This window comes from Homo sapiens, chromosome 16 (genome assembly GCF_000001405.40).
Source record: "Homo sapiens chromosome 16, GRCh38.p14 Primary Assembly".
Taxonomy (NCBI): domain Eukaryota; kingdom Metazoa; phylum Chordata; class Mammalia; order Primates; family Hominidae; genus Homo; species Homo sapiens.
Genome location: NC_000016.10, coordinates 67,481,256 through 67,507,818, shown reverse-complemented (window position 1 = coordinate 67,507,818; position 26,563 = coordinate 67,481,256). Strand labels below are relative to the sequence as shown.

The 26,563-nt window shown below is 49.6% G+C and overlaps 1 protein-coding gene and 1 long non-coding RNA gene across 7 annotated transcripts, besides 3 other annotated features; one reads left to right on the top strand and one right to left on the bottom strand.

Moving 5' to 3' along the window:
• Positions 1-1,415: 1,415 nt before the first annotated feature.
• Positions 1,416-26,425, bottom strand: ATP6V0D1-DT (ATP6V0D1 divergent transcript). Of its 5 annotated transcripts, none has more exons than NR_184227.1 (4): positions 26,300-26,425; positions 23,491-23,709; positions 15,698-15,794; positions 1,416-3,794 (listed from the first exon to the last, which is right to left on the bottom strand). It is a non-coding gene; the product is annotated as an ATP6V0D1 divergent transcript (long non-coding RNA). The 5 variants fall into 5 exon arrangements; NR_184225.1 differs by having other exon boundaries at positions 1,416-3,399; NR_184226.1 differs by having other exon boundaries at positions 1,416-3,399; positions 15,698-15,788.
• Positions 2,982-3,091: an enhancer, noted in NCBI's record as "active region_10968". NCBI's record gives its function as "activates an Ori minimal core promoter by ATAC-STARR-seq in GM12878 lymphoblastoid cells {active_cell/tissue: GM12878}" and the evidence as "EXISTENCE:reporter gene assay evidence [ECO:0000049][PMID:35858748]".
• Positions 19,020-19,099: an enhancer, noted in NCBI's record as "active region_10967". NCBI's record gives its function as "activates an Ori minimal core promoter by ATAC-STARR-seq in GM12878 lymphoblastoid cells {active_cell/tissue: GM12878}" and the evidence as "EXISTENCE:reporter gene assay evidence [ECO:0000049][PMID:35858748]".
• AGRP (agouti related neuropeptide) lies at positions 24,272-25,248 on the top strand. Of its 2 annotated transcripts, NM_001138.2 has the most exons (4): positions 24,272-24,302; positions 24,418-24,550; positions 24,709-24,794; positions 25,001-25,248. In NM_001138.2, exons 2-4 carry the CDS (start codon positions 24,421-24,423, stop codon positions 25,181-25,183), a joined length of 399 nt encoding a protein of 132 aa, NP_001129.1. In that variant the 5' UTR covers positions 24,272-24,302; positions 24,418-24,420; the 3' UTR covers positions 25,184-25,248. The 2 variants fall into 2 exon arrangements, with proteins under 2 accessions (NP_001129.1, XP_047289650.1); XM_047433694.1 differs by having other exon boundaries at positions 24,272-24,550.
• Positions 26,382-26,551: a silencer, noted in NCBI's record as "silent region_7606". NCBI's record gives its function as "represses an Ori minimal core promoter by ATAC-STARR-seq in GM12878 lymphoblastoid cells {active_cell/tissue: GM12878}" and the evidence as "EXISTENCE:reporter gene assay evidence [ECO:0000049][PMID:35858748]".

The following is a 26,563-nucleotide window of genomic DNA, read 5'->3' as shown; positions in this document are numbered from 1 at the left end:
GCAGAGTGGAGAAGGAGGTTCTAAAGGAAATGACCACTCACTATGACACTGAAACTGTGCACAAGCCCCACTCAATGCCTACTACTGCCAATCAGTTTTCTAGGGCCTGACTCTTCTATATAAGGAGAAAACCAATAATCAGCAGATATTAGAGAAATAAAGGTAACACGGTAAGCAGAGATGAAAACAACAATAACAAATCAGAGGAAATGTACATTCTGCATTAATATTCTCAGAGATATTAGAGAAGACATTACATCCATAAAGCAAGAACAGCATGCCTCAGGAATAAAAGGGGGAAAAAAATTCCAGAGAGCAATGTTAAAGCCTTGAAAAACGAAACATATGATAGCAGAAGTGAGAAACTCAATATAAGGGTTGGAAATAGAGTTGAAGAAATCTCCAGGAAGTAGAGCAAAATGACAGTAATGGAAAGTGTAAAGTGAAAGGGACCGGGTGCCGTGCTCACGCCTGTAATCCCAGCACTTTGGGAGGCCAAGGTGGGAGGATTACTTGAGGTCAGGAGTTCGAGACCAGCCTGGCCAACATGGTGAAACCCCGTCTCTACTAAAAATACAAAAATTAGTTAGATGTGGTGGTGCACATCTGTAATCCCAGCTACTCAGGAGGCTGAGGTGGGAGAATCACTTGAACGCGGGAGGTGGAGGTCGCAGTGAGCCCAGATCGCGCCACTGCACTCCAGCCTGGGTGACAGAGCGAGACTCCATCTCAAAAGAAAAAAAAAAAGAGACAGAGAGAGAGAATTTCCCATAATTGAGGTACTATGTGTGTTTCCAGATTGAAACGGCCTGTCCCAGGGTGGCTAGCTGTCACAGAGCAAAGGGTCTCAAACCTTTTGGTCTCATGACGTCTTTTCACTCTTCAGTATTTTTGAGGATTCTAAAGAATTTTGTTCATGTTGGTTATATCTATTATGAAAGGAAAATAAAATCTTGGGACCCCAAACTCATTATGTCAAAGGGAAAGTTAAGCTTGGGAACCACAAAAACTGCCTTCCTTTCCCAAACGGACAGCTGTAATTTCACAGGCTTAGTTATGTAAAATGTAGATCTACTAAGCCCGAGACAATGCATAGTTGACTCCCCCGACCCCTTTTCACATATAAAATGTAGAGTCACTGAGCTGCTAATCACAGCCTCACAACAATGTCACCACTTGCCGCCCTGCCTACCCTCCTGCCCGCTTTTTTCCCCTTTCCTCCCTCCCCTCCTGCTGCCTCTTTCCTCTTTGGAAAAAGCACAGGACACAGATCGTACTGTGACTTGTGTCTCTTTTTCCCCGGGCGTGTCCTCAACCTTGGCAAGATAAACCTCTAAATTGATTGAGATGCCTCAGTCACTTTTTGGTTCACACCATTAATATTTACCATGTGAGAAATTAAAACAGAGAAAATGTTTACATGTTTATTAATTTATTTAAAATGATATCATGAAACCATTACATGTTAACACAACTTTTTTTTTTTTTGAGAAGGTGAAGGTGTCTTGCTCTGTTGCCCAGGCTGGAGTGCAGTGGTGCGATCTTGGCTCACTGCAACCTGCCCCTCCCAGGTGCAAGCAATTCTTCTGCTTCAGCCTCTCAAGTAGCTGGGATTATAGGCGCATGCCACCAAGCCCAGTTATTTTTTTTTTTTTTTTTTGAGACGGAGTCTTGCTGTCGCCCAGGCTGGAGTGCAGTGGCGCGATCTCTGCTCACTGCAGGCTCTGCCCGCTGGGTTCACGCCATTCTCCTGCCTCAGCCTCCTGAGCAGCTGGGACTACAGGCGCCCGCCACCTCGCCCAGCTAATTTTTTGTATTTTTAGTAGAGATGGGGTTTCACCATGTTAGCCAGGATGGTCTCGATCTCCTGACCTCATGATCCGCCCGCCTTGGCCTCCCAAAGTGCTGGGATTACAGGCGTGAGCCACCGCGCTCAGCCAGCCCAGCTAATTTTTATATTGTTAGTAGAGATGGGGTTTCATTATGTTGGTCAGGCTGGTCTCGAACTCCTGATCTCAAGTGATCCTCCCACCTCAGTCTCCCAGCGTTGAGATTACAGGCATGAGCCACTGTGCCCAGCCAACACAACATACTTTTAATGAAAAATAACTACATTTTTCCAAACCAAAAAGAAAGTGAAAACAGTGGTATTGTTTTGTATTTTTTGCAAATCTCTTCAATGTCTGGTTTAATATTCTGGTTTAATTCCCATATCTGCTTCTATACTCAACCTGTTTCAACATCACATGTCACAAACAGCCAGGCGCAGTGGCTCACACCTATAATCCCAGCACTTTGGGAGGTGAAGGCGGGAGGATCACTTGAGGCCAGGAGTTGGAAGACCAGTCTGGGCAACATAGCAAGACCCCTCTGTCAGTATAAAAAACAAAATAAAAAAACACATGTCATGTAGCCTCTGGAAAATCCCACTGTACACTCATGAAAGACAAATAATATCTTTTTTTTTTTTTTTGAGACAGTGTCTTGCTCCATCACCCAGGCTGGAGTGCAGTGGTGAGATTTCAGCTCACTGCAATCTCTGCCTCCCGGATTCAAGCAATTCTCCTGCCTCAGCCTCCTCCTGAGTAGCTGGGATTACAGGCATGCATCACCACACCCAGGTAATTTTTGTATTTTTAGTAGAGACTGGGTTTCACCATGTTGGCCAGGCTGGTCTGAAACTCCTGACCTCATTATCCATTTGCCTTGGCCTCCCAAAGTGCTGAGATTATAGGCGTGAGCCACCGTGCCCAGCTGACAAATAACATCTTAATATTACCGTGAACCTAGTGTAGACTTTATGGATACTTCAAAAGGACCGCACTTTGGAAACCACAGAGTTAAACAATATCAAGTCTCATTGGCTTCATGCAATAAAAATGTACTCCAATGAAGACTGGCCAGCTTCCCATGGAGAGCTGGCTTTTTCCATCATGCTGTAAATTATACCATCTGGAATGCGTGGTTTCCAAGTTTACTGAGAGAGAGAAGGGGGCTGGTGAATCAGGTGGGATGCTTTTAAGGGTAGGGCCTGAGCCAGGCACACTGGCTCATGCCTATATGACATCAGCTATTAGGGAGGCTGAGGTGGGAGGATTGTTTGAGCACAGGAGGTTGAGGCTGCAGTGAGTCATGATCACAGCACTGCACTCCAGCCTGGGTGACAGAACAAGACTCAGACCTTTAAATAAAAAAAAGACTAGGGCCTAGAGGTGGGGCATGTCACTGGAAATGTCATCTTCCTGTGTGTCCAGGAAGAGAATTGGGTGTGGTGAACACTTAGCATCTGCTCCACCCCTGGGGTGATCGTGGCGCTCACATGATCCTGTGACCGGAAGCCTCCACAGGGTCACTTCATGAACATTTCTCATGTTTCTGCAGCATTTTCAAACAGTTGCCCTGTTAGTGACAGCAGTTATAACAGGTGACTTTGACTTCGAGCATTTGTCCCATTCAAATTAATTTTTCTATTTTAATTATAAAAGTAATACATGTTCACACACACAAAGCATCATTTCAATGATCAGAAGGACAAAAGAGAAAGATAAACATTACACCCCATGGAACCTCCTTGAACTGTGTCACCACCCGCGAGAAGCATAGTGAATTCTCTCAAAAAGTTTCTTTGCATCTCTAAGCTTACATCTACATCTATTTTTTGGAATGCAGTTGGGGTCATATTATGCATACTGTTCTATAAATCCGGAAGGAGGGGCATTAAGTAGACAAGATGATATGCAGAAGCAGATGGAAGGTAGAAAAACTCCTCTGCATGAATTCAGGGCTCCCTCTGGCTGAAAGAAGAAAAAGAAGAGCGTGGCTGGGGATGTGGCCGTAGAGCAATGACAGTCAGGCCTAGCCTCCCAGCAGCACGCAGGAGAGGCAGCCAGACCCCCAGATGGACTGCCCAGTCCTCACAGGCAGATAGGGTGTGGACAGCCTCACAAAAATGCCTGGGTCCCCAGCACTGCAGAGTCTTCAGCAAGTTGCTGGGCCTAGAGTCGTGACGACTAGGCATGGTGGCCTTCTCAGTGGTCATCTGTGAGGACACATAACCATGGACTAATTCCCCTCCTACCCTCTGCGTGGCATAACCCTGAACAGAGAACAAACACAAGAACAAACCTAGTGCCAGGAGTGGAACCCTGCCTGTTTTTGTATAACCCACAAGTCAAGAATGGTTCCTTCCTTCCTTCCTTCCTTCCTTTCTTCCTTCCTTCCTTCCTTCCTTCTCTTTCTTTCTTTTCTTTCTTTCAGAGGGTGTCTTGTTCTGTCGCCCAGGCTGGAGTGCAGTGGTGTGATCTTGGCTCACTGCAACCTCCGCCTCCTGGGTTCAAGCGATTCTCCTGCCTCAGTCTCCCAAGTAGCTGGGATTACAGGCATCTGCCACCACACCTGGCTAATTTTTGTATTTTAGTAGAGACAGGGTTTCACTATGTAGGTCAAGCTGGTCTTGAACTCCTGACCTCAAATGATCCATCCGCCTCGGTCTCCCAAAGTGCTGGGATTACAGGCGTGAGCCACTGTGCCCGGCCTTATTGATTGATTGATTGAGACAGGGTTTCATTCTGTCATGCAGGCTGAGTGCAGTAGTGGGATCACAGCTCACTGCAGCCTCAACCTCCTGGGCTCAAGGGATCCTCCAGCCTCAGCCTCCCAAGGATTTTTTTTTTTTTTTGAGTCGGAGTCTTGCACTCTCGCCCAGGCTGGAGTGCAGTGGCGCAATCTGGGCTCACTGCAAGCTCCGGCTCCAGGGTTCAAGCCATTCTCCTGCCTCAGCCTCCTGAGCAGCTGGGACTATAGGCGCCCGCTACCATGCCCGGCTAATTTTTTGTATTTTTAGTAGAGACAGGGTTTCACTGTGTTAGCCAGGATGGTCTCAATCTCTTGATCTTGCGATCCGCCTGCTCGGCCTCCCAAAGTACTGGGATTACAGTCATGAGCCACCATGCCTGGCATTTTTTTTTTTAAACCAACTAAGAAGCACTGAAGTTTTTCTAAAGTTTTTACATTTCTCTCCTTCTCCCTCCATCTCTCTTTTTCTCTCTCTCTCTCTCTTTTTCCAAGATATGGTCTCCCTCTGTTGTCCAGGCTGGAGTGCAGTGAGCTCCTGGCCTCAAATGATCCTCCTGCCTCAGCCTCCCAAAGGGTAGGGACTACAGGTGCGCACCACCACACTCAGCTAATTTAAAATTTTTTTTGTAGAGATAGGGTCTCCTGATGTTGCCCAGGCTGCGTCTCCAACTCCTGGGTTTAAGTCATCTTCTTGCCTTGGCCTCCCAAAGGGCCAGGATTACAGGCGTGAACCACAATGAAAAAAAATCGAATGGAGGCTATTTTGTGACACATTAAAGTTATCTAAAATTCTAATTTCAGTGTGCAGACATGGAGTTTTATTGAAATGTAGCCTGGTTCATCTGTTACATGGTGCCTGTGTCTGCTTTTGGGTTCCAACAGCAGAGTCGAGTTGTTGGAACAGAGATCGTAAGTGGTGCTCTCGTCACTTTTCTTTGCTGCTCAGTGCACTATAAATTGCAGTTTTGGGCCGGGTGTCGTGGCTCATGCCTGTAATCCCAGCACTTTGGGAGGCCGAAGCAGATGGATCACCTGAGGTCAGGAGTTTGAGACCAGCCTGGCCAGCATGGTGAAACCCCATCTCTACTAAAAACACAAAAATTAGTTGGGCATGGTGGCGGGGGCCTGTAATTCCAGCTACTTGGGAGGCTGAGGCAGGAGAATCGCTTGAACCCGGGAGGCAGAGGTTGCAGTGAGCTGAGATCGCACCATTGCACTCCAGCCTGGGTGACAAGAGCGAAACTCCGTCTCAAAATAAATAAATACATAAATAAATTTCAGTTTTGAAGTTACAACTTGATAGTTTTGTTGTTGTTGTTGTTGTTGTTTGAGATGGAGTCTTGCTCTGTCGCCAGGCTGGAGTGCAGTGGTGTGATCTCGGCTCACTGCAACCTTCACCTCCCAGGTTCAAGCCATTCTCCTGTCTCAACCTCCTGAGTAGCTGGGATTACAGGTGCACACCATCACGCCCACCTAATTTTTGTATTTTTAGTAGAGAAGGGGTTTCACCATGTTGGCCAGGCTGGTTTCAAACTCCTGACCTCAGGTGATCCACCCACCCTGGTCTCCCAAAATGCTGGGATTACAGGCATGAGTCACTGCACCTGGCCACAACTTGATAGTTTGGAGTACCAAATGTATCATCATACAATGACGATTTATTTTATTTTATTTTATTTTGCTTTATTTTTGAGACAGAGTCTTACTCTGTCCCCCAGGCTGGAGTGCAGTGGTGCAATCTTGGCTCACTGCAGCCTCTGCCTCCTGGGTTCAAGCGATTTTTGTGCCTCAGTCTCTGAATACCTGGGATTACAGGCACGTGCCACCATGTTTGGCTAATTTTTGTATTTTTAGTAGAGACTTGGTTTTGCTATGTTGGCTAGGCTGGTCTTGAACTTCTGACCTCAGGTGATTCACCCACCTCAGCCTCCCAAAGTGCTGGGATTACAGATGTGAGCCACTGCGCCCGGCCTATTTTATTCCATTACCAGTTCATACCTATCATGTGAAAAGAAGAAAGTAGGCTGGACGTGGTGGCTTACACCTGTAATCCCACACTTTGGGAGGCCGAGGTAGGCGGATCACCTGAGGTCAGGAGTTGCATTCCAGCCTGACCCACATGGTGAAACCCCGTCTCTATTAAAAATACAAAAATGGGCGTGGTGGCGGGCGCCTGTAATCCCAGCTACTCAGGAGGCTAAGGCAGGAGAATCACTTGAACCCGACAGGCAGAGGTTGTGGTGAGCCGAGATCATGCCATTGCACTCCAGCCTGGGCGTCAAGAGTGAAACTCCATCTCAAAAAAAAAAAAAGAAGAAGAAGAAGAAGAAAAGGGACAAGAGTCAGTCATTATACTGGGGACCTGCCTTATGCTGGAGCCTAGAGATCTTAGGGCTTTCCTGACTTTCCAAGGATGGGATTCAGTATGGCAAAGGCAGAGTGGGATACAAGTGAGTGGGATGGGGGAATGGAAAAGGATTAACTAGGCTGCTCGTAGGGCCTTAGACAAAGGTGCTTCCAGGTCTGGTCAGCTGCTTGGGGAAGCCCACGAGGGCACCACGTGGCCCTCCCATTCGATAACATCCCTGTTCCTTTAGTCATGCCAGCATCGAAGCATGGACTGGATGGACTCTTGTTATCATCATGAGGACTGCAGAGCACATGACATCCAAGGACACAGCTGAAATCTCCATGCCACCCATCACTTTATCTTGGTGGCAGCAGGAATGAGGACCTAATAGGAAATCAGCTCACCCAGGCAACCCCATGCAGAAGGTTTTCCCACTTTTCCCAACAACCACCAGTTCTGGAGCCTATATCCACCTATTTGTTCAAGACATCCTACCTGCTTTCCCTTCTTTCTTTCCTTTTTTTTTTTCTTTTTTTTTCTTTTTTTAGATGGAGTCTTGCTCTGTCACCCAGGCTGGAGTGCAGTGGCGTGATCTTGGCTCACTGCAACCTCTGCCTCCTGGGTTCAAGCGATTCTCCTGCCTCAGCCTCCCGGGTAGCTGGGACTACAGGTGTGCACCACCACACCCAGCTATTTTTTTTTTTTTGAGATGGAGTTTCACTCTTGTCTCCCAGGCTGGAGGGCAATGGCATGATCTCAGCTCACTGCAACCTCCGCCTCCCAGGTTTAAGCGATTCTCCTGCCTCAGCCTCCTGAGTAGCTGGGATTACCAGCATGTGCCACCACCATGCCCAGCTAATTTTGATATTTTTAGTAGAGACGGGGTTTCACCATGTTGGCCAGGCTGGTCTTGAACTCCTGACCACAGGTGATCCACTCGCCTTGGCCTCCCAAAGTGCTGTGATTACAGGAGTGAGCCACTGTGGCTGGCCCCGGCTAATTTTTTAATATATATATATATTTTTATAAGAGACAGGGTTTCACCACGTTGGCCAGGCTGGTCTCCAACTCCTGACCTCAAGTGATCTGCCCACCTTGGCCTCCCAAAGTGCTGTGATTACAGGCATGAGCCACCATGCCTGGCCCCTTCTTTTTTTCTTGCCTTTCCTCATCAGCTTGGACCCCAGGGTCGAGACCTACAACCTCCCTCTGGGTCATTATCTAGGGCACCATGCCCAGTGGTAGTATGTGTCCCTCCTGTCTATGACATGCCTGATCGGGGTCCACCTCATGTCCCATTCTCTCTCATACTCCATTATCAGAAGAATGAAGTGCCAGGGAATAGGCAGCAGGTGGCCTAGTGCCTCATCACCCTGTGATATCCACGGATCTGCTGTAACCTCAGTCTTCAGTTGGGGGTTGAGCATGGGGTGATGAGGGTGCATTCATAGTCCAAAAAGCAAGAATCGTATCCTAAAGTGGTGACTCAGCTTGGCCCTGATCAGGCCAGCAGCATCTGGGCTGTGCAGTATTTGGTGGAACCAGTGATTTCTATGTCATGTGTCTGCTGCCAAGGGAATAAGGGGAGGGAGGATCAGGCAAGGGCCTGAGGCCAGCTCTGCCTCCGCTCCACGTGCTGGCCCAGAATAGACCCTGCCCCTGGTCTGATGCTCTTCCTCCATCCCCAGGGTCCTCAGGCAACGGGGGAAAATGAGCAGGGCCAGGTTGGGGAGGGAGTCTGGCCCCAGTGCTCCTGACACTTGCTCCCCAGCTGAGAAAAGTAGACTTTTCTGTGAAATGAGAATATCATCATCTTGGTTGCCAGGTTTAGATTTGCCAAGAATGGGAGGCTGAGGCCTTGTTCCTTCTTGTCTGCACCCCCTCTCCTCTGTCCTAGGCCTTTGGATCACTGCTGAGGAAGGCTTCCCAAGCCCACCCCCAGAAAGAACTGAGCTTGGCCAGGTGCAGTGGCTCATGCCTGTAATCCCAGCACTTTGAAAGGCTGAAGCAAGAGGATTGCTTGAGCCCAGGAGTTCAAGAGCCTGGGCAACATAGCAAGATCCTGTCCTTAAATTAAAAAATTAAAAAATATATATATATACACATATATATGTATATAAATCACGCCCTTGCCTGATCCTCCCCCCAACCTTATTCCCTTGGCAACAGACACATGACAAAAAAAAAAAAAAATGTAATCCCAGCACTTTGGGAGGCCGAAGCAGGTGGATCACCTGAGGTCAGGAGTTTGAGACCAGCCTGACCAACATGGTGAAACCCCATCTCTACTAAAAATACAAAATTAGCTGGACATGGTGGTGTGCTCCTGTAATCCCAGCTACTCAGGAGGCTGAGGCAGGAGAATCACTTGAATCCAGGAGGCAGAGTTTGCAGTGAGCCGAAATCGTGTTATTGTACTCCAGTTTGGGCAACAAGAGCGAAACTCCATGTCAAAAAAAAAAAAAAGGCCAGGTGCAGTGGCTCACACCTGTAATCCCAGCACTTTGGGAGGCCGAGGCAGGCAGATCATAAGGTCAGGAGATTGAGACCATCCTGGCTAACACGGTGAAACCCCATCTCTACTAAAAATACAAAAAGTTAGCGGGGCGTGGTAGTGTGCGCCTGTAGTCCCAGCTACTCGGGAGGCTGAGGCAGGAGGATGGCGTGAACCCGGGAGGCAGAGCTTGCAGTGAGCTGAGTTCACACCACTGCACTCCAGCCCGGGTGACAGAGCGAGACTGTCTCAAAAAAAGAGAAAGAAAGAGAAAGAGAGAAAGAAAGAAAGAAAGAGAAAGAAAGAAAGAGAAGGAAGGAAGGAAGGAAGGAGAGAAAGAGAGAAAATAAAGAACTGAGCTGGGTATAAGCCACTGTCTTCAACCTTTGCAGCACTACAGGCTCCACGACAGAAGTTCTGAACTGGGACTGTTCAGACAATGTGTCTTGTCTTACCACTGTAGAAAGGTGACAAGAGCAGGAGGACCTGGGACTTGGTGTATTTGGGGCCTCCCTGGGTTGGCCACAGCTCTTTCCAGCTCATTCCTCTTGTAGGCTGCCCTGAACTTGCTAACCCAGGGCCAGACTCTGGCCTATGATGAGGAAGCCATCCTGTGTGCTGGCACTCACCCTGGCTGTTCCAGTTTGTACCTTGGGAGTCAGTTTTCTGACCCCCAATGTTATGTCCGAGCTGGAATCTGAGGACAGGGCTGCTCAGTTGGGTTCTCAGGAGCCTGGTGAAGATATCAGGTCCAATGGGGCCTATGACCTTGAACTCCATTTTTTCAGGGCTGTCAATAACAGGAGGAGCATAGGTTGTCATTGGGTGAAGTTGCCCAAGATGGTTGCCTAGAAGGAGTTTAGGGGGTTGGATCCTGGGGTCCAGGCCACAGATGGAGGCTGCAGAGAGTGGAACTTGGGAAGCCAGTGCTGGAAAGGTGGGAGACTCTGGAGAGAGGAGTGAGGGGTGCTCTAGAAAAGGTGATGGGTTGGAGGAATCATAGGAATCCCTGGGGTGTCCACATAAGTGTCATCTCCTGACATGGGGAAGTGGTGGGTGGCATTCAGACCCAGCTTCTCTGGACCCTTCCTTGACTTTGGTTCACCCTGCAAGTACGGCTGTGGGCCGGCCTGTGGCCAGGTGGTCTTAGCTGGACCACGAGGGCTGTGTGCTTTGCAGGCCCCAGTAACAGTGACAAAATCCATTCAGGACATGCTGAAGGCAATAAGGTGATGGCTGGGCTCACAGAAAAAGAGGCGGGGGCCTTCCTGGACTAGGAAGGCTGAGTCATCTCCTGGTGGGTATCTCCAAGGAGTGGACCAGACCACAGGAGCCCCAAAAGACCCAAATTCTTTGTGTTCAATACCCAGCCTTCACATCAACCCTGCTCCCTCCACCCCCAGGTTCCTAGTAAGCCCTAAGCATTTGCACCAGGCTCTGGCATGCAGTAAGTGCTCAGGACATATTTTAAGATAAAGGAATGAGCGCTGCCTCCTCACTGGGTTACAAGGGCCAGCACCTATTTGGTGTCCCCGGAGCTGAGTGTCAGGCCGCTTATTCCTCTGCCTCTAACATCCCCAGCAGCCCTTCCCACTAATTGGCTGCAGGCCTCAGCCATCATCTAGTACCAGAAAGACCTTGGGCTTTGGAGTTAGAAATGGTGGGTTAGGGCAGAGATTCTCAAAGCTCAGTCACATCAGAGCCACCTGAAAGGTCTGTTAAAACTCTAGCAGTTGGCCGGGCGCGGTGGCTCACATCTGTAATCCCTGCACTTGGGGAGGCCGAGGTGGGCGGATCACGAGGTCAGGGGTTCGAGACCAGCCTGGCTAATATAGTGAAAGCTTGTCTCTACTAAAAAACACAAAAATTAGCCGGGCATGGTGGCTCGTGCCTGTAGTCCCAGCTACTCGGGAGGCTGAGGCAGGAGAATCGCTGGAACCTGGGAAGCGGAGGTTGCAGTGAGCCGAGATGGAGCCACTGCACTCCAGCCTGGGCGACACAGTGAGACTCCATTTCAAAACAAACAAACAAACAAACAAATAAACAAACAAACTCTAGCAGCTGAGCCCTACCCCAGGAGTTTGTGATTCATTATGTTGGGGCAGAGCCAGACTTAACATCCTCCCAGGTTCCTACCTTAGGCTGATGCTGTTGGTGTGGGCGCCACATTTTGGGGGATAAGTATGCTTAGACACACGTGGAACAGACTCTTGGTGTCCACTGCTGGTATCTGCCTCTGATGTGTCTGGGGCTTTCTGAGCTCACTCTACAAGTTGGTCAGAAGTGCTAGGAGTTAACTCTCCCCCAACAACCCTCCAAGGGACTGAGACAGGGTTGCTGTATATCTACTCACCTTCCTCCTGCCTTGGGTGGAACTTCTCTGAGACATGCATTCTGCACTGCAGCCCAGAGTTCCCCACCCACACCCCGGGGGGACCAGGCATCCCTGGTGGAACCCTGCTTATGACCCACTTTATAGTGGCTGTCTTCCCTCCCTGTATTTTTGTACGCTTGTTCTTTGTATCCTCTTTTATTTCCTTATTTATTTTTGAGACAGGGTCTTGCTCTGTCGCCCAGACTGAGTGTAGTGGCATGCTCACGGCTTACTGCAGTCTTTTTTTTTTGAGATGGAGTCTTGCTCTGTCGCCCAGGCTGGAGTGCAGTGGTGCAATCTCAGCTCACTGTAAGCTCTGCCTCCCGGGTTCAAGCCATTCTCCTGCCTCAGCCTCCTGAGTAGCTGGGACTACAGGCGCCCGCCACCACACCCGGCTAATTTTTTTGTATTTTTAGCAGAGACAGGGTTTCACCATGTTAGCCAGGATGGTCTTGATCTCCTGACCTCATGATCCGCCTGCCTCGGCCTCCCAAAGTGCTGGGATTATAGGCTTGACCCACCGCCCCCGGCTGGCTTACTGCAGTCTTGACCTCCTAGGCTTAAGCAATCCTCCCACCTAAGCCTCCCTAATAGCTGGGACTGCAGGTATATGCCACAATGCCAGGCTATTTTTTTTTTGAGACAGAGTCTCGCTGTCACCCAGGCTGGAGTGGCAGTGGCACGATCTCAGCTCACTGCAACCTCTGCCTCCCAGGTTCAAGTGAGCCTCCTGCCTCAGCCTCCCAAGTAGCTAGGATTACAGGTGCACACCACAACACCTGGATAATTTTTGTATTTTTAGTAGAAATGGGGTTTCATTCACCGTGTTGGCCAGGCTGATCTCAAACTCCTGACCTCAAGTGATCCAGCCATGTCAGCCTCCCAGAGTGCTGGGATTACGGGCGTGAGCCACTGCGCCCAGCCTAAGTTTTGTATTTTTTATAGACAGGATTTCCCCATGTTGCCCAGGCTGGTTTTGAACTCCTGGGCTCAGGCAATCTGTCCACCCTGGCCTCCCAAAGTGTTGGGATTACAGGCGTGAGCCACCATGCCTGGCTTGTATCCTCTTAATAAACTTCCTGTGCTACAATGTTTGTCTCAAGGTTTTCTGAAGTGGGAACTCAAACTAAGACAATGTCTCTGCCTCTTGTTTGTCTACGACTATGGTCAGGTTCATGCCATTGCACTTGATCTTAGCCAAAAGGCCAAGAAACGACAGGTTCATGCCATTGTTCTGGGCCTCCATTCATTCTTCTGTGAAGTGGAGAGAAGTCCACCAACGTTCTCATTGACTTGCAGTAACAGCACAATGGGTATGAGCATTGCAGAGCAGGGACTCACTGGGGCTCTGCAAGTATGGAGGAGGAAACTCATTTCTTTTTCTTTTTTGACGTAGTTTCTTTCTTGTCACCCAGGCTGGAGTGCAATGGTGTGATCTCAGCTCACTGCAAGATCTGCCTCCTGGGTTCAAGCGAGTTTCCTGCCTTAGCCTCTCAAGTAGCTGGGATTCCAAGCACATGCCACCACGCCCGGCTAATTTTTGTATTTTTAGTAGAGACGGGGCTTTACCATGTTGGCCAGGCTGGTCTCAAACTCCTGACCTCGAGTGATCTGCCAGCTTTGGCCTCCCAAAGTGCTGGGATTACAGATGTGAGCCACCGCACCCGGCCTAATAACATTTTTTATTGGGAAAATTTACATGATATAAAATTCACTATTTTAACCATTTTAAAGGGTACAGTCCAATGGTTTTTGTATATTCACGATGTTATTCAACCATCACCACTACCTATTTGGAGAACATTTGACGTTTTTTAGTTGTTGCAACTAAAGAGGTGTGGTGCTACTGACACCTAGTGGGCAGAGAACAGAACTGCTGTTAAACTTCCCACCAGAAAGAATTATGTGGGCCTGGGGTTGCTGGTAATCCCAACACTTTGGGAGGCAGAGGTGGGAGAATCACTTGAGTCCAGGAGTTTGAGACCGGCCTGGGCAACAAAGTGAGACGCCATCTTTACAAAAAATACAAAAAATTAGCCGGGCGTGGCAACGTGGGCCCGTGGTCCCAGCTACTCGGGAAGCTGAGCTGGGAGGATCACTTGAGCCTGGGAAGGGGAGGTTGCAGTGAGCCATGATTGCACCACTGCACTCCAGCCTGGACAACAGAGCAAGATCCTGCCTCAAAAAAAAAAGAAAAGGAAAATTATCTGCACCAAAATGTTAACAGTAGAGGTTGAGAAACCTTGCTCTACACAATGAAAACACCATCACCACACCAACAGTAATTCAGCAGTATCACCCTGACTTGTTCCAAGAATGCCATTTTACCATGTTTTTTTCTTTTTTTTGAGACGGAATTTTGCTCTTGTTTCCCAGGCTGGAGTGCAATGGTGCGATCTCGGCTCACTGCAACCTCTGCCTCCCGGATTCAAGCAATTTTCCTGCCTCAGCCTCCCGAGTAGCTGGGTTTACAGGCATATGCCACCATACCCAGCTAATTTTGTATTTTTGGTAGAGATGGGGTTTGTTGGTAAGGCTGGTCTCAAACTCCCGACCTCAGGTGACCCGCCCACCTCAGCCTCCCAAAGTGCTGGGATTACAGGCGTGAGCCACCACGCCCAGCCCATTTTAGCATTCTTATTTTAGTCCAGGAGTGAAGCAAGGTTCATGAATTGGATTTGGTTATGTCTCTCTAGTGTCTTTTAATATAGAAGAGTATCCTCTGCCCCACACTCAGCCTGTTTGTTTTTCATGTCATTGATTTTCTTTTTAGGAGTTTAGGCCAGGCCACTTTTCTAGTATATTCTGGATTTACCTGATTGCTTCTTCAAGATTGGATTCATGGTAAATACTTTTGTCAAGAATACTACTTTGGTGATTTTTGCATCACATCAGGAGGCCCATCATATAAGATTGCTGTGCTATTTATGATGTTGAAACTGGAAGATAACATAGTTCAGAAGACAGAATCCGGTGCAGCCTCCCCCTCCCCTTCTCCTCCAAGTATGGTGTCCAGGCAGCTACTGTAGTTTGTCTACCCTTTCTGAAAAGTAGCGAGCTGGGAGAGGTAGTGCATGCCTGTAGTCTCAGCTACTCAGGAGGCTGAGGTAGGGAGATTACTTGAACCAGGGAGTTCAAGGCTGCTGTGTTATGCACATCAGCCTGGGCTACACAGTGAGACTATCTCAAAAAAAAAAAAAAAGTGAAAAACAGTGAAAAAGTCAGGGTAGCCTGAGGCAGATAACACTCAGCCAGCAGGAAGTCTTCAGACCCTCCTCTCTTCTCTCTCTTTTTTTTTTTTTTTGAGATGGTGTCTTGCTCTGTCGCCCAGGCTGGAATGCAGTGGTGTAATATTGGCTCACTGCAACCTCTGCCTCCTGGACTCAAGCAATTCTCCTGCCTCAGCCTCCTGAAAAGCTGGGACCATAGGCATGTGCCACCACACTGGCTAATTATTTTGTACTTTTAGTAGAGACAGGGTTTCACCATGTTGGCCAGGCTGGTCTCAAACTCCTGACCTCAAGCCATCTGCCTATCTTGGCTTCCTGAAGTGCTGGGATTACAGGCGTGAGCCACTGCACCCAGCCTTCTCTTCTCTTTATTACAGCTGTAAGAGGCCTCACCTTTGGGCCGGGCGCGGTTAGGAAGTCCTGATCATGAGGTCAGGGGCTCGAGGCCAGCCTGACCAACATGGTGAAACCCCATCTCTACTAAAAATACAAAAAAAATTAGCCGGGCGTGGTGATGCACATCTGTAATCCCAGCTACTCAGGAGGCTGAGGCAGGAGGATTGCTTGAATTCAGGAGGGGGAGGTTGCAGCGAGCTGAGATTGCGCCACTGCACTCCAGCCTGGGCAACAGAGGGAGACTCCGTCTCAAAAAAAAAAAAAAAAAAAGGTCTCACCTTCAAAGACGGTTTCCTTTGCCAACACCAAGGAGTAGGCTCCAGCCTGGGTTGCTGAGAGGACATGGGAGGACTCCTGGGACTTCTTCAGCTGTTACTTGGTTCCCAGGGAGAAAAAAAGCGAGGACAGAAGTGAGCAGAATCCCTTGAGACTAGAACCAGGAAGCTAAGGGTGTGGGACAGTGAGGGTTGGGGGCTGTGCTGATGGAAACTTCAGGGCCTGATAGGATTCCTGTCATGAACAACTCTGCAAAAGCCACACTGAAGTTACCCCCTATCTTCCTTCTCTTTAGGAAGTAACTTCCTCTTCTCTCCACCTTTAGGAACCCCACCTACAGACCGTCTCCTCCAGGAAACCTAGCAGTGCTGCAGGAGGAAGGAACTCTTTACTTCTGGTCTCAAGGCACTTCAGGCTTGAACCACCATGAAGGCAGAAATTCCATCCAGTTACCCTGGAAGTGGGAAACCGACAACCTGCATGGCATTTTTTGAAGCTAGACATGTAAACATCATTTAAAAGTTCTGTTTTCTTGGCTCACGCCTGTAACCCCAGCACTTTGGGAGGTCAAGGCAGGCAGATCATGAGGTCAGGAGATTGAGACCATCCTGGCTAACACGGTGAAACCCTGTCTCTACTAAAAATTCAAAAAATTAGCCGGGTGTGGTGGTGGGCGCCTGTAGAACAGCTACTCGGGAGGCTGAGGCAGGAGAATGGCGTGAACCTGGGAGACAGAGCTTGCAGTGAGCCGAGATCGCACCACTGCACTCCAGCCTGGGCGACAGAGTGAGACTCCGTCTCAAAAAAAAAAAAAAAAACTTCTGTTTTCTCTCTTTTCTTTAAAAACCTGAAGCTCTTAGCTGGGTGTGGTGGCACATGCCTGTAATCCCAGCTACTCGGGAGACTGAGGCAGGAGAATTGCCTGAACCCAGGAGGTGGAGGTTGCAGTGAGCCAAGATCACGCCATTGTGCTCCAGCCTGGGCAACAGAGCGAGATTCCATCTTAAAAAAAAAAAAAAGTCTGAAGCTCTGGCAAACCTGGGCCTACATCTCTGCCTGCCATCAATGGCTTCTCCCTTCAGGCCAAACTCACACTCTTCAAACTGTTATTAAAATACCACAGGTTTGGTCTAGGTCATGCTGCTCACCACACAGAAAGCCAATCACTGAGACAATTATTGCCAAGGAAGAAGGCTTTAATCGGGTGATGCAGGTGAGAAGACGGGAGATCGGTCTCAAATCCATCTCCCTGATGGACTAAAATTAGGAGTTTATATAGCAGGGAAGAAATGTAATTGTGTGTGGGAAAACAAATGCAAGGGGTAAGGAAGCAAATCATGATGAATGAGGGCCCTTGAGTCTCATTGTCTGGATGGGATGATCTGGTGGGTTTCAGTTCTTTGATACTTTTTGAGAGGACTGGGGATCCTTTCCTGAGAGGGGAACTCAGATAAAACAAATGTAAGTTTCAAGCTTTAGGATCAGAAGGGTTGATTTCTATGTTTATCCAAAAAAGCTGTCTATGGGACTATTGGGTTGGTTTCAAAACTTCCCCAATATTGAGTCAGAGTGTGGTCATTGTTAATGTTGAAATACAGAACTAATCTTTTGTTTCCGAAAAAAAGTATGACAGGCCGGGCATGGTAGCTCATGGCTGTAATCCTACCACTTTGAGAGGCCGAGGCAGGTGGATCACCTGAAGTCACCTGAAGTTCAAGACCAGCCTGGCCAACGTGGTGAAACCCCGTCTACACTAAAAATACAAAAATTAGCTGGGTGTGGTGACACACGCCTGTAATCCCAGCTACCTGGGAGGCTGAGGCAGGAGAACTGCTTGAACCCAGGAGGGGTTGCAGTGAGCTGAGACTGTGCCACTGCACTCCACCTGGGCGACAGAGCCAGACTTCATCTCAAAAAAAAAAAAAAGTATGAAAATAAAAGAGAGGCCAAAGGGCCATGTGCTTCAGGGAAGATGAGAAATGGCATAATTGTGTATGTATGTGTGTGTGTGTGTGTGTGTGTGTGTGTGTGTGTGTGTGTGTGTGTAATTGAAGAAATATTCTTACGTATTTATTATTCAAAGTCAATCTGTGCTGAAAAATACAACTCCAGGTGTCATTATTTCTGAGCATAGTGACCAGGGGGTCATTACAGGGTCAGACTCCCCAGTATGACTCTCAGCTCTACCGCTTGCAAGCTATTGACCTCAGACAAGACTGTGACAATATCCAGATGCCTCTGTAGTTTAAACTTCTCTGGACTGCTCAAATATAGCCCGACTGCTATCTTAGCAAGAAAACACCCTGTACACGTGGCTTTCAAGGCTGTACTAAAGAAAACATGAAATCCCATACCCCAAATTATTCTTTCTGGGATGAGAATGTGCCCAAAGTCAATACTAGCCCAAGCCAAAAGCCAAATCTGGCTCCCATGGATAGGTTTCTGGCCCTGACTTTGGCAGATGGTGCTGGCCCATGTAACCTACTCTACCCCAAAGGCCACAGCAGGGGGAAGGCTCTGGAGGTCAGAACTTCTGTGAGAGTCACAGGCTGACCTTGGGGATGCTCACAGCCTGGGAGAGCTCAGCTTAGGTCAAGTGAGGACCATCAGACCCTGTCCAGATCAGAGTAGCTCACTGAATTCTCCAGCCACAGCCTTCAGCAGTAGGTGCCAGCAGGATTTTCAAAACCAGGACCAGGGAATTTGGAGACAAAGGTGACTTTCTCCTATAGGATGCTGAGGGAGGAGAAAAGGAATAAAGCAGTTGGGCAGACAGCTATGGCTAGTCCTTGGTAAAATTCTTTTGAAAAATCAAAGCTACAGGCACAGATAGAGCAGCCTGGGGAAAAATCAAGCTGCAGCTGCACAGATAAGGGAGCAAGGCCCAGGATAGAGGCCTTTGTTCTTTGCATAATCAGCAGGCTCCCAGGAAAATGTTTCCTCCCCTTTTCAGGCATGCAAATGGTGAGCTCTGTGGGAACTTGCACAGGGAGGGGGATGGGGAGACTTACCTAAAACATACCTGCAACTACAGAGACAAGAGAAGCTACATATGCTTTCCTAAAGACATGCCCACAGCTGCACAGTTAACAGTAGTTACACAGATAGGGGAAGTTACACAAATAGCTACAGAGATGAGGGAAGTTTCTTTCTTTCTTTTTCTTTTTTTTTTTTGAGACGGAGTCTCGCTCTGTCACCCAGGCTGGAGTGCAGTGATGCAATCTCGGCTCACCGCAACCCTCCGCCTCCAGGGTTCAAGCAATTCTCCTGCCTCAGCCTCCTGAGTAGCTGGAATTACAGGCACGTGCCACCGTGCCTGGCTAATTTTTGTATTTTTAGTAGAGATGGAGTTTCACCATGTTGGTCAGGCTGGTCTCGAACTCCTGACCTGACCTTGTGATCCACCCGCCTCGGCCTCCCAAAGTGCTGGGATTACAGGCGGGAGCCACAGCGTCCAGCCAGACACTCCATTATTTTTTGAGCCACTAATAAAGGAAAAGAAAAAATGTTTTCATTGAGACATAATATCCAATAAAAAATACAATATATATATATATTTTGAGATGGAGTCTTACTCTGTCACCCAGGCTGGAGTGCAGTGGCACAATCTTGGCTGACTGCAACCTCCGCCTCCTGGGTTCAAGTGATTCTCCTGCCTGAACCTCCTGAGTAGCTGGGACTACAGGCACACACCACCACATCTGGCTAATTTTTTATTTTTAGTGGAGACGAGGTTTTGCCATATTGGCCAGGCTGGTCTCGAACTCCTGATCTCAGGTGATCTGCCCACTTTGGCCTCCCAAAGTGCTGGGATTACAGGTGTGAGCCACTGCACTTGGCAAAATACACAAGTCTTAAATGTGCAGCTTGATGAAATTTTACATACTTATATACCTGCGTGACCACCACTGAGATCAAGATACAAAACCTTTCCAACACCTCACATGTTTTCCTCATTTCCCCCCTCAGTCAATAATTTCCCACCCTCCCAGAGTTAACCGCTGTTGTGTTTTATCACCATTTATTATAATTTTGCTTGGGTCTGAATGTCATAGGGCTGGATTCATTCCATCCTCACTCTTCTGCAGCATGCTTCTTTCATTCAACCTTATGTCTGTGCAATTCATTCATGTTGCAGTGTGTAGCAGTAGTTTATTCTCTTGTCATTGCTGTATAGTTGTCAATTATATAAACATACTTTTGTTTGTTTGTTTGAGATAGGGTCTCACTCTGTCACCCATGCTGGAGTGCAGTGGTGCAATCTTGGTTCACTGCAACCTCTGCCTCCTGGATTCAAGTGATCCTCCCACCTCAGCCTCTCGAGAAGCTGGGACTACAGGCTTGCGCCACCATGTCTAGCTAATTTTTGTAATTTTTGAAGAGACAGGGTTTTGTCATGTTGCTCAGGCTGGTCTGGAACTCCTGAGCTCAAGTGATCCACTCGTCTCGGCCTTCCAAAGTGCCAGGATTACAGGTGTGAGCCACTGTGCCTGGCCCAATTATATCACTATAATGTTATTATCCATTTTGCTGTTGATGGATATTTGGATTGTTTCCAGTTTTCTTTCTTTTTTAAAATTTTTTATTTTTTTAAGACAAGGTCTCATGTGCATAAGCTGGAATGCAGTAGTGTGATCATGGCTCACTACAGCTTTAACCTCCTGGGATCAAGCGATCCTCCCCACCTCAGCCTCTGGAGTCACTGGGACCACTGATGTGCACCACTGTGTCTGGCTATTTTTAAATTTTTTTGTAGAGATTGGGTCTCTGTATGTTACCCAGGCTGGTCTCAAACTCCTGGGCTCAAGACAGTCTCCCACCTCGGCTTCCCAAAGTGGTGGGATTACAGGCATGAGCCACGGCACCAACTTTCTCTATCTTTTTGTTTTATTCCAACCCTCAAAGGATTGGATGATTCTGGAAACACCCTCACAGGCACACCTAGAAATAATATTTAACCAGATATCTGGGCATTCCTGGCCCAGTCAAGTTGACACACAAAATTAACAATCACAGATCCTCTCTAGCTCAGGGCTCAATACACCAGCCCGAGAGAACCCCCATCCATCTTCTCCTCTCCCTGAATGACTGAGGAGACCGTGCCTCTCCAGGCAACCTCTGCCTTAGGAAATCCTACAGATGATTCACAGGAAACACATGGCTGTGCTCTCTGGGGCAGGGGCAATGGGCTGGGTAGGGGTTTCAAAATCAACCCTGATTGACAGAGCCACGGGTGCTTGCAGTTTTTCCCTGCACCCCCCACCCTCTCCCCTGGACAAGGTGGGAACAGGGCCCTTGAAGGGGAGTACACTGCAGGAGGAAAAAGAAGAGAAGGGAGAGGGTTTGAGCACCCCTCTCTGTCCTCATGTGGTCTCTGGAACGAGCATGCACACTCTCCCCTTTCTCCTCCCTGCACAGAGTCCCTGTGTTCCGGGCCCACACCCTCACTTAGGAGGCTCTGCCTCCCCCAGGGTTTCCCAAATCCTCCTCCCAGAACATGCCACATATTTCTGAAGGTCCTTTTGCCAACAAGCATTGTCCTGGGAATATCAGGCTGGTTCCTTACCGTAAAATTACCCACATAGTGAAACTTTTTTTTTTTTGAGATGGAGTCTCACTCTGTTACCAGGCTGGAGTGTTACCAGGCTGGAGTGCAGTGGCACGATCTCAGCTAACTGCAACCTCCGCCTCCTGGGTCCCAGTTCAAGTAAATCTCCTGCCTCAGCCTCCCAAGTATCTAGGATCATAGGTGCGTGCCACCATGCCCAGCTAATTTTTGTATTTTTAGTAGAGATGGGGCTTCACCATGTTGGCCAGGCTGGTCTTGAACTCCTGACCTCATGATCTGCCCACCTTGGCCTCCCAAAATGCTGGGATTACAGGCGTGAGCCACTGCATCCGGCTGTGAAACTTTTTTTTTTTTTTTTGAGAGAGTCTCGCTCAGTCACCCAGGCTGGAGTGCAGTGGCGCGATCTCGGCTCACCGCAAGCTCTGCCTCCTGGGTTCACACCATTCTCCTGCCTCAGCCTCCCAAGTAGCTGTGATTACAGGTGCCCGCTATGACGCCCGGCTAAATTTTTTTTTTTTTTGTATTTTTAGTAGAGATGGGGTTTTGCTGTGCTAGGCAGGATAGTCTCCATCTCCTGACCTTGTGATCTGCCCACCTCGGCCTCCCAAAGTGCTGGGATTACAGGCGTGAGCCACCGCACCTGGCCTTTTTTTTTTTTTTTTTTAATGGGGACTGGGTTTCGCCATGTTGCCCAGGCTGGCCTCGAATTCCTAGGCTCAAGTGATCTGCCTGCCTCAGCCTCCCAAAGTGCTGGGATTATAGGCGTGAGCCACCACCACCATGGCTCACTGCAGCCTCAATCTCCTGGGCCGAAGCTATCCTCCTCCCTGTCTCCTGAGTAGCTGGGACTACAGGTGTGCATCACCACATTCAGCTAATTAAATTTTTTTTTTTTGGTAGAGACAGAGTCTCACTATGTTGCCACTCCTGGGCTCAAGAAGGTGTGAATCACTACACCTGGCCGTTTTTTTTTTTTTGTTTAGTTTTGTTTTTGTTTTTTGAGACGGCAACTTGCTTTGTCGCCCAGGCTGGAGTGCAGTAGCGCGATCACAGCTCATTGCATTTTGGCGCTGGGTTTTCTTGATATCTCCCCCACTGGACCTGACCGGGGCATGGGCTGCCCTGTGAGTGCCTCAGCCCTCGTCCATCACTGCCCATGGGGCTGATACACCTGTGTGCACACACTCAGGTGAAGACAGCTGCTGCCCGTAGGTGAGGTAAGACACTGAGCACCTGTGTGGGAGGAGATCTTCCACTCCCACTCTGTCCACACCAGACCATGAAGAGCTCTCCATAGCATGGGTGCTGACCAGGCCCAGCCTGGGTGACAGAGTGAGACCCTGACTCAAAGAAAAAGACATAATGAGGTGTGATTTTAATTTCTTGGATGTCCCAGTATATATAAATGTTGGGAGTATGGATTGCTTCATTTCATTTTAAATAGCATTTTTTTTTTAAGATGGAGTCTCACTCTGTCACCCAGGTTGGAGTGCAGTGGTGCGATCTCTGCTCACTGCAGTCTCTGCCTCCCGTGTTACAAGTGATTCTCCTGCCTCAGCCTCCCGGGTAGGTGGGATTACAGGCATGTGCCACCATGCCTGAATAACTTTTGTATTTTTAGTAGAGATAGGGTTTCACCATATTGGCCAAGCTGGTTTGAACTCCTGACCTCCAGTGATCCGCCCACCTTGGCCTCCCAAAATGCTGGGATTACAGGCGTGAGCCACCGTGCCTGGCCACCCTTTATCTTCTTTTCTTTTTGAGACAGGATCTTGCTCTGTCGCTCAGCCTGGAGTGTGGTGATGCAGTCATAGCTCACTGCACTCTTGAATCCCTGTGCTCAAGCCATCCTCCCACCTCAGCCTCTACTACAGGCATGCACCACTACACCCAGCTATTTTTTTATTTTTTGTAGCAACGGGGTCTCACCATGATACCCAGGCTGGTCTTAAACCCCTGGCCTTGTGATCCTCCCACCTTGGCCTCTCAAAATGCTGGAATTACAGGTGTGAGCCACCATACCTGGCCCCCTTCATCTTTTTTCCACTGCCTTGTGCCAACCCAGTTTGTGCACTGGGGCCTTGCGATCCTCTCAAAGCTGATTCAGCCTGCATTCCTTTCCCAGATGGACACGTGTGTGATAAACAGCTCTGCAGTGGGGTGAGGGAAGGCAGGGGCAGCAGGGTCCTGTATGTCCTGCCATCTCCACAAAAGGGCAGTCCTTACCCCAGCCTTGTGCTGATGAGACCAGGCATAGACAGTCCTGACGACACAGGGCGGAAGGGAGCAGCCATTAGTGCTAATGAGGCAGGCGGCCTGAAAGCTTTGTACTCTGCAGTGGCTCGCCCACCCAGGGAACAGTTCGTTCTGTTTCCTTGGCTTCCAGGAACCCTAGGCAGAAAGGGGTTTGGGGACAGGAGCAGGAGTGGGCGGTCTTGGAGAAACCTGGAGGGAGAAAGGGAGGGGAGGACCAGAAATGTAGTCAGGAGGGCCTAGGATTGGTTAGGTGGGCTTTTCCTTCCCCTTTCCCTCCAAAGAAACCCAGGTTCTGGTTCTGCACCTACCCCTGCCCAACAGTGGCCATTGGCCCATCACCCGCTCCAATGTCCTTGACCCGAATTCTTGGAAGCACAGGAAACAACATGCCACATAGGGGTTGAGTAAGCATCTCTGGGGCCACAAATTAAATTAAGCTTTCAGGGCCGCCTGCCTTGTTATTGCTAATGGTTCTAGCCCTGCTCAGCTCCTAGGTCCCTGTCCTGTGGAAATTTGTGGACCCTGGGCACCCTCTCTTGCTCCCAAATTTTAATCGGCTCCTGGAAACCTCACCCCAAATTGGAGATAGGCACTCCTCTTGTAGAACAAAAGGCTCAGGTTCAGGGAGTGAGGGCCTGAACTGTGCCCCCACCCTCCAGGAAGGGTCCTTCACGGCCTGGCTGCAGGGATCAGTCACGTGTGGCCCTTCATTAGGCCCTGCCATATAAGCCAAGGGCACGGGGTGGCCGGGAACTCTCTAGGCAAGAATCCCGGAGGCAGAGGTGAGTCCTCAGGTTGGGCAGGGACTCCTCCTCTCTGTGGGGTCTCTATCTGGGCACCTAGAGGGGACTCCAAGGATAAGGAGGGACTAAGTGGTACATCTTCCTGCTGAGCCAGGCCATGCTGACCGCAGCGGTGCTGAGCTGTGCCCTGCTGCTGGCACTGCCTGCCACGCGAGGAGCCCAGATGGGCTTGGCCCCCATGGAGGGCATCAGAAGGCCTGACCAGGCCCTGCTCCCAGAGCTCCCAGGTCAGTGTGAGCAAGGGTGGGACTGGGCGGGGCCTGAATACCCTCTGGCCACAAATAGTCTCCCCTGGCATAAACCCTCTTTCTCCCTTCCCAAACCCTCCCCTGGGAGGTGGGTGCTTTGTGCATGGGGGTTCCTGCCCTCACATCCTCTGCCCCAGGCCTGGGCCTGCGGGCCCCACTGAAGAAGACAACTGCAGAACAGGCAGAAGAGGATCTGTTGCAGGAGGCTCAGGCCTTGGCAGAGGTAACTGCTCAGGGAAAAGGGTAAGGTGGTGGCCCTTGGGAGGGGGCATTGGGTATTAGCTCCTCTCCCCAGCTCCAAACTCCCTCACCAGCGACGACACTACCGACCACCCCTTCCCATGCTCCACTGCCATCCTGCACAGGTTGGGACAGGTAAGATCCCTGGATCTGTCTTTAGAGGCCTGTGCTGGTTCCCCACCCCTGCAGGTACTAGACCTGCAGGACCGCGAGCCCCGCTCCTCACGTCGCTGCGTAAGGCTGCATGAGTCCTGCCTGGGACAGCAGGTGCCTTGCTGTGACCCATGTGCCACGTGCTACTGCCGCTTCTTCAATGCCTTCTGCTACTGCCGCAAGCTGGGTACTGCCATGAATCCCTGCAGCCGCACCTAGCTGGCCAACGTCAGGGTCGGGGCTAGGGTAGGGGCAAGGAAACTCGAATAAAGGATGGGACCAACCCCAAGGCTGTGGTTATTTCAAACGTGGCCGTCAAAGGAGGGAGGGTTCATGGAGGGGGTGGGAGTGTCACCAAGCCAAGAAACCACACATACTCTTATCCCAGGGCCTGGGCTACCCTATCATAGGAGGCACATACACGGGCGCTTTTAGGGGTCCTGGTGCCCCTGGGAAAAATAGAGAAGAGCCGCACTCCAGCTTTCGAAAATCTTGTACAGCAAGTGCGGGGAACGCAGGACGCAGCGTGGCACAGGGGCTATCACTCCTGGCTAACAAATAAGCCTTAGGCTCCAGGGCTTGCTGCTACTTCCACGCAAAGCCTGCCCCTCATCCTGTTACCAGAGGGAAGGCCAGGAGTGTGCGTTGTTCAGGTCCTTAGCGTTTCGAACAAAGAATTGAACAAAACCCAGAAAGTAACAAACGAATGACACACAGGAAGGAAGCAGACAGCTGGGATTTGTTAAAGCGAGAAAGCACTACGCAGGGTGGGAGTGGGCCTGAGCAAGAGGCTGAAGGGGCTCAGTTACAAAGTTTTCCGGGTTTTAAGTACTCCTTTTGCGGTCCCTGTCCGTTACCCCTTATCTGGATGAAGGGTTTGGTCCATGGCTAATTAATCCATTTATGCCTGAGGTTGCAATCTTTTTGAATTTTTGCAATCAGACCTTGGCCATGACCTTGAGCAGTAGGATATAAATAACTCCCATATGCTTAGCGTTCCAATAATGGAACACAAGGCATAAATGGGGCTAAGGTGAATTGGCGCCCTATGCAGATGAAGGGATGGCCCGTGCTTGGCCCGCAGCCAATCCAAGGCACTCTCCCTTTCAACTGAGACGTGGTGGAAGGGGGAGGGTTGTGGGGACAGTGGCCTTTGATCCTTTGTTACTTGGACATGGGGAGATGGGGTTTTTCTTTTTGGTTTAGCTTTAGTAAGCTCGCCTTAGTTGGCCTCCGGTTCCCTGCCCCCAGACCTTGGTGTTTTCCCTTGATTCAGCTTCAGAATTCAGCACGTATTGGCCTCAAGTTCCCCGCCTCCAGACCCTATTCTCCTACCTCAATCGGACCTCAGTTTCCCTCTGGGGAGGAGGCTGGCCCAGCAGTCTGGAAACTTTCCAAGCTTGAGAAGGGCTCGCTCCCTTCTTTACCCCGCCCGCCCTGCAGCGTCAAGTGCAGCAAACCGGGGAAAGCTAGAGAAGGCCCAGTCAAATCCCTGCGGCCACAGGCGCCACCAAGCGGCCGGCCTCAAACTTCCTCTTTTTAGCGCGCAGGCGCCGCAGGGCCAGCCCACGCCTGCACCGCGCTTCCGCGCAGCCACCC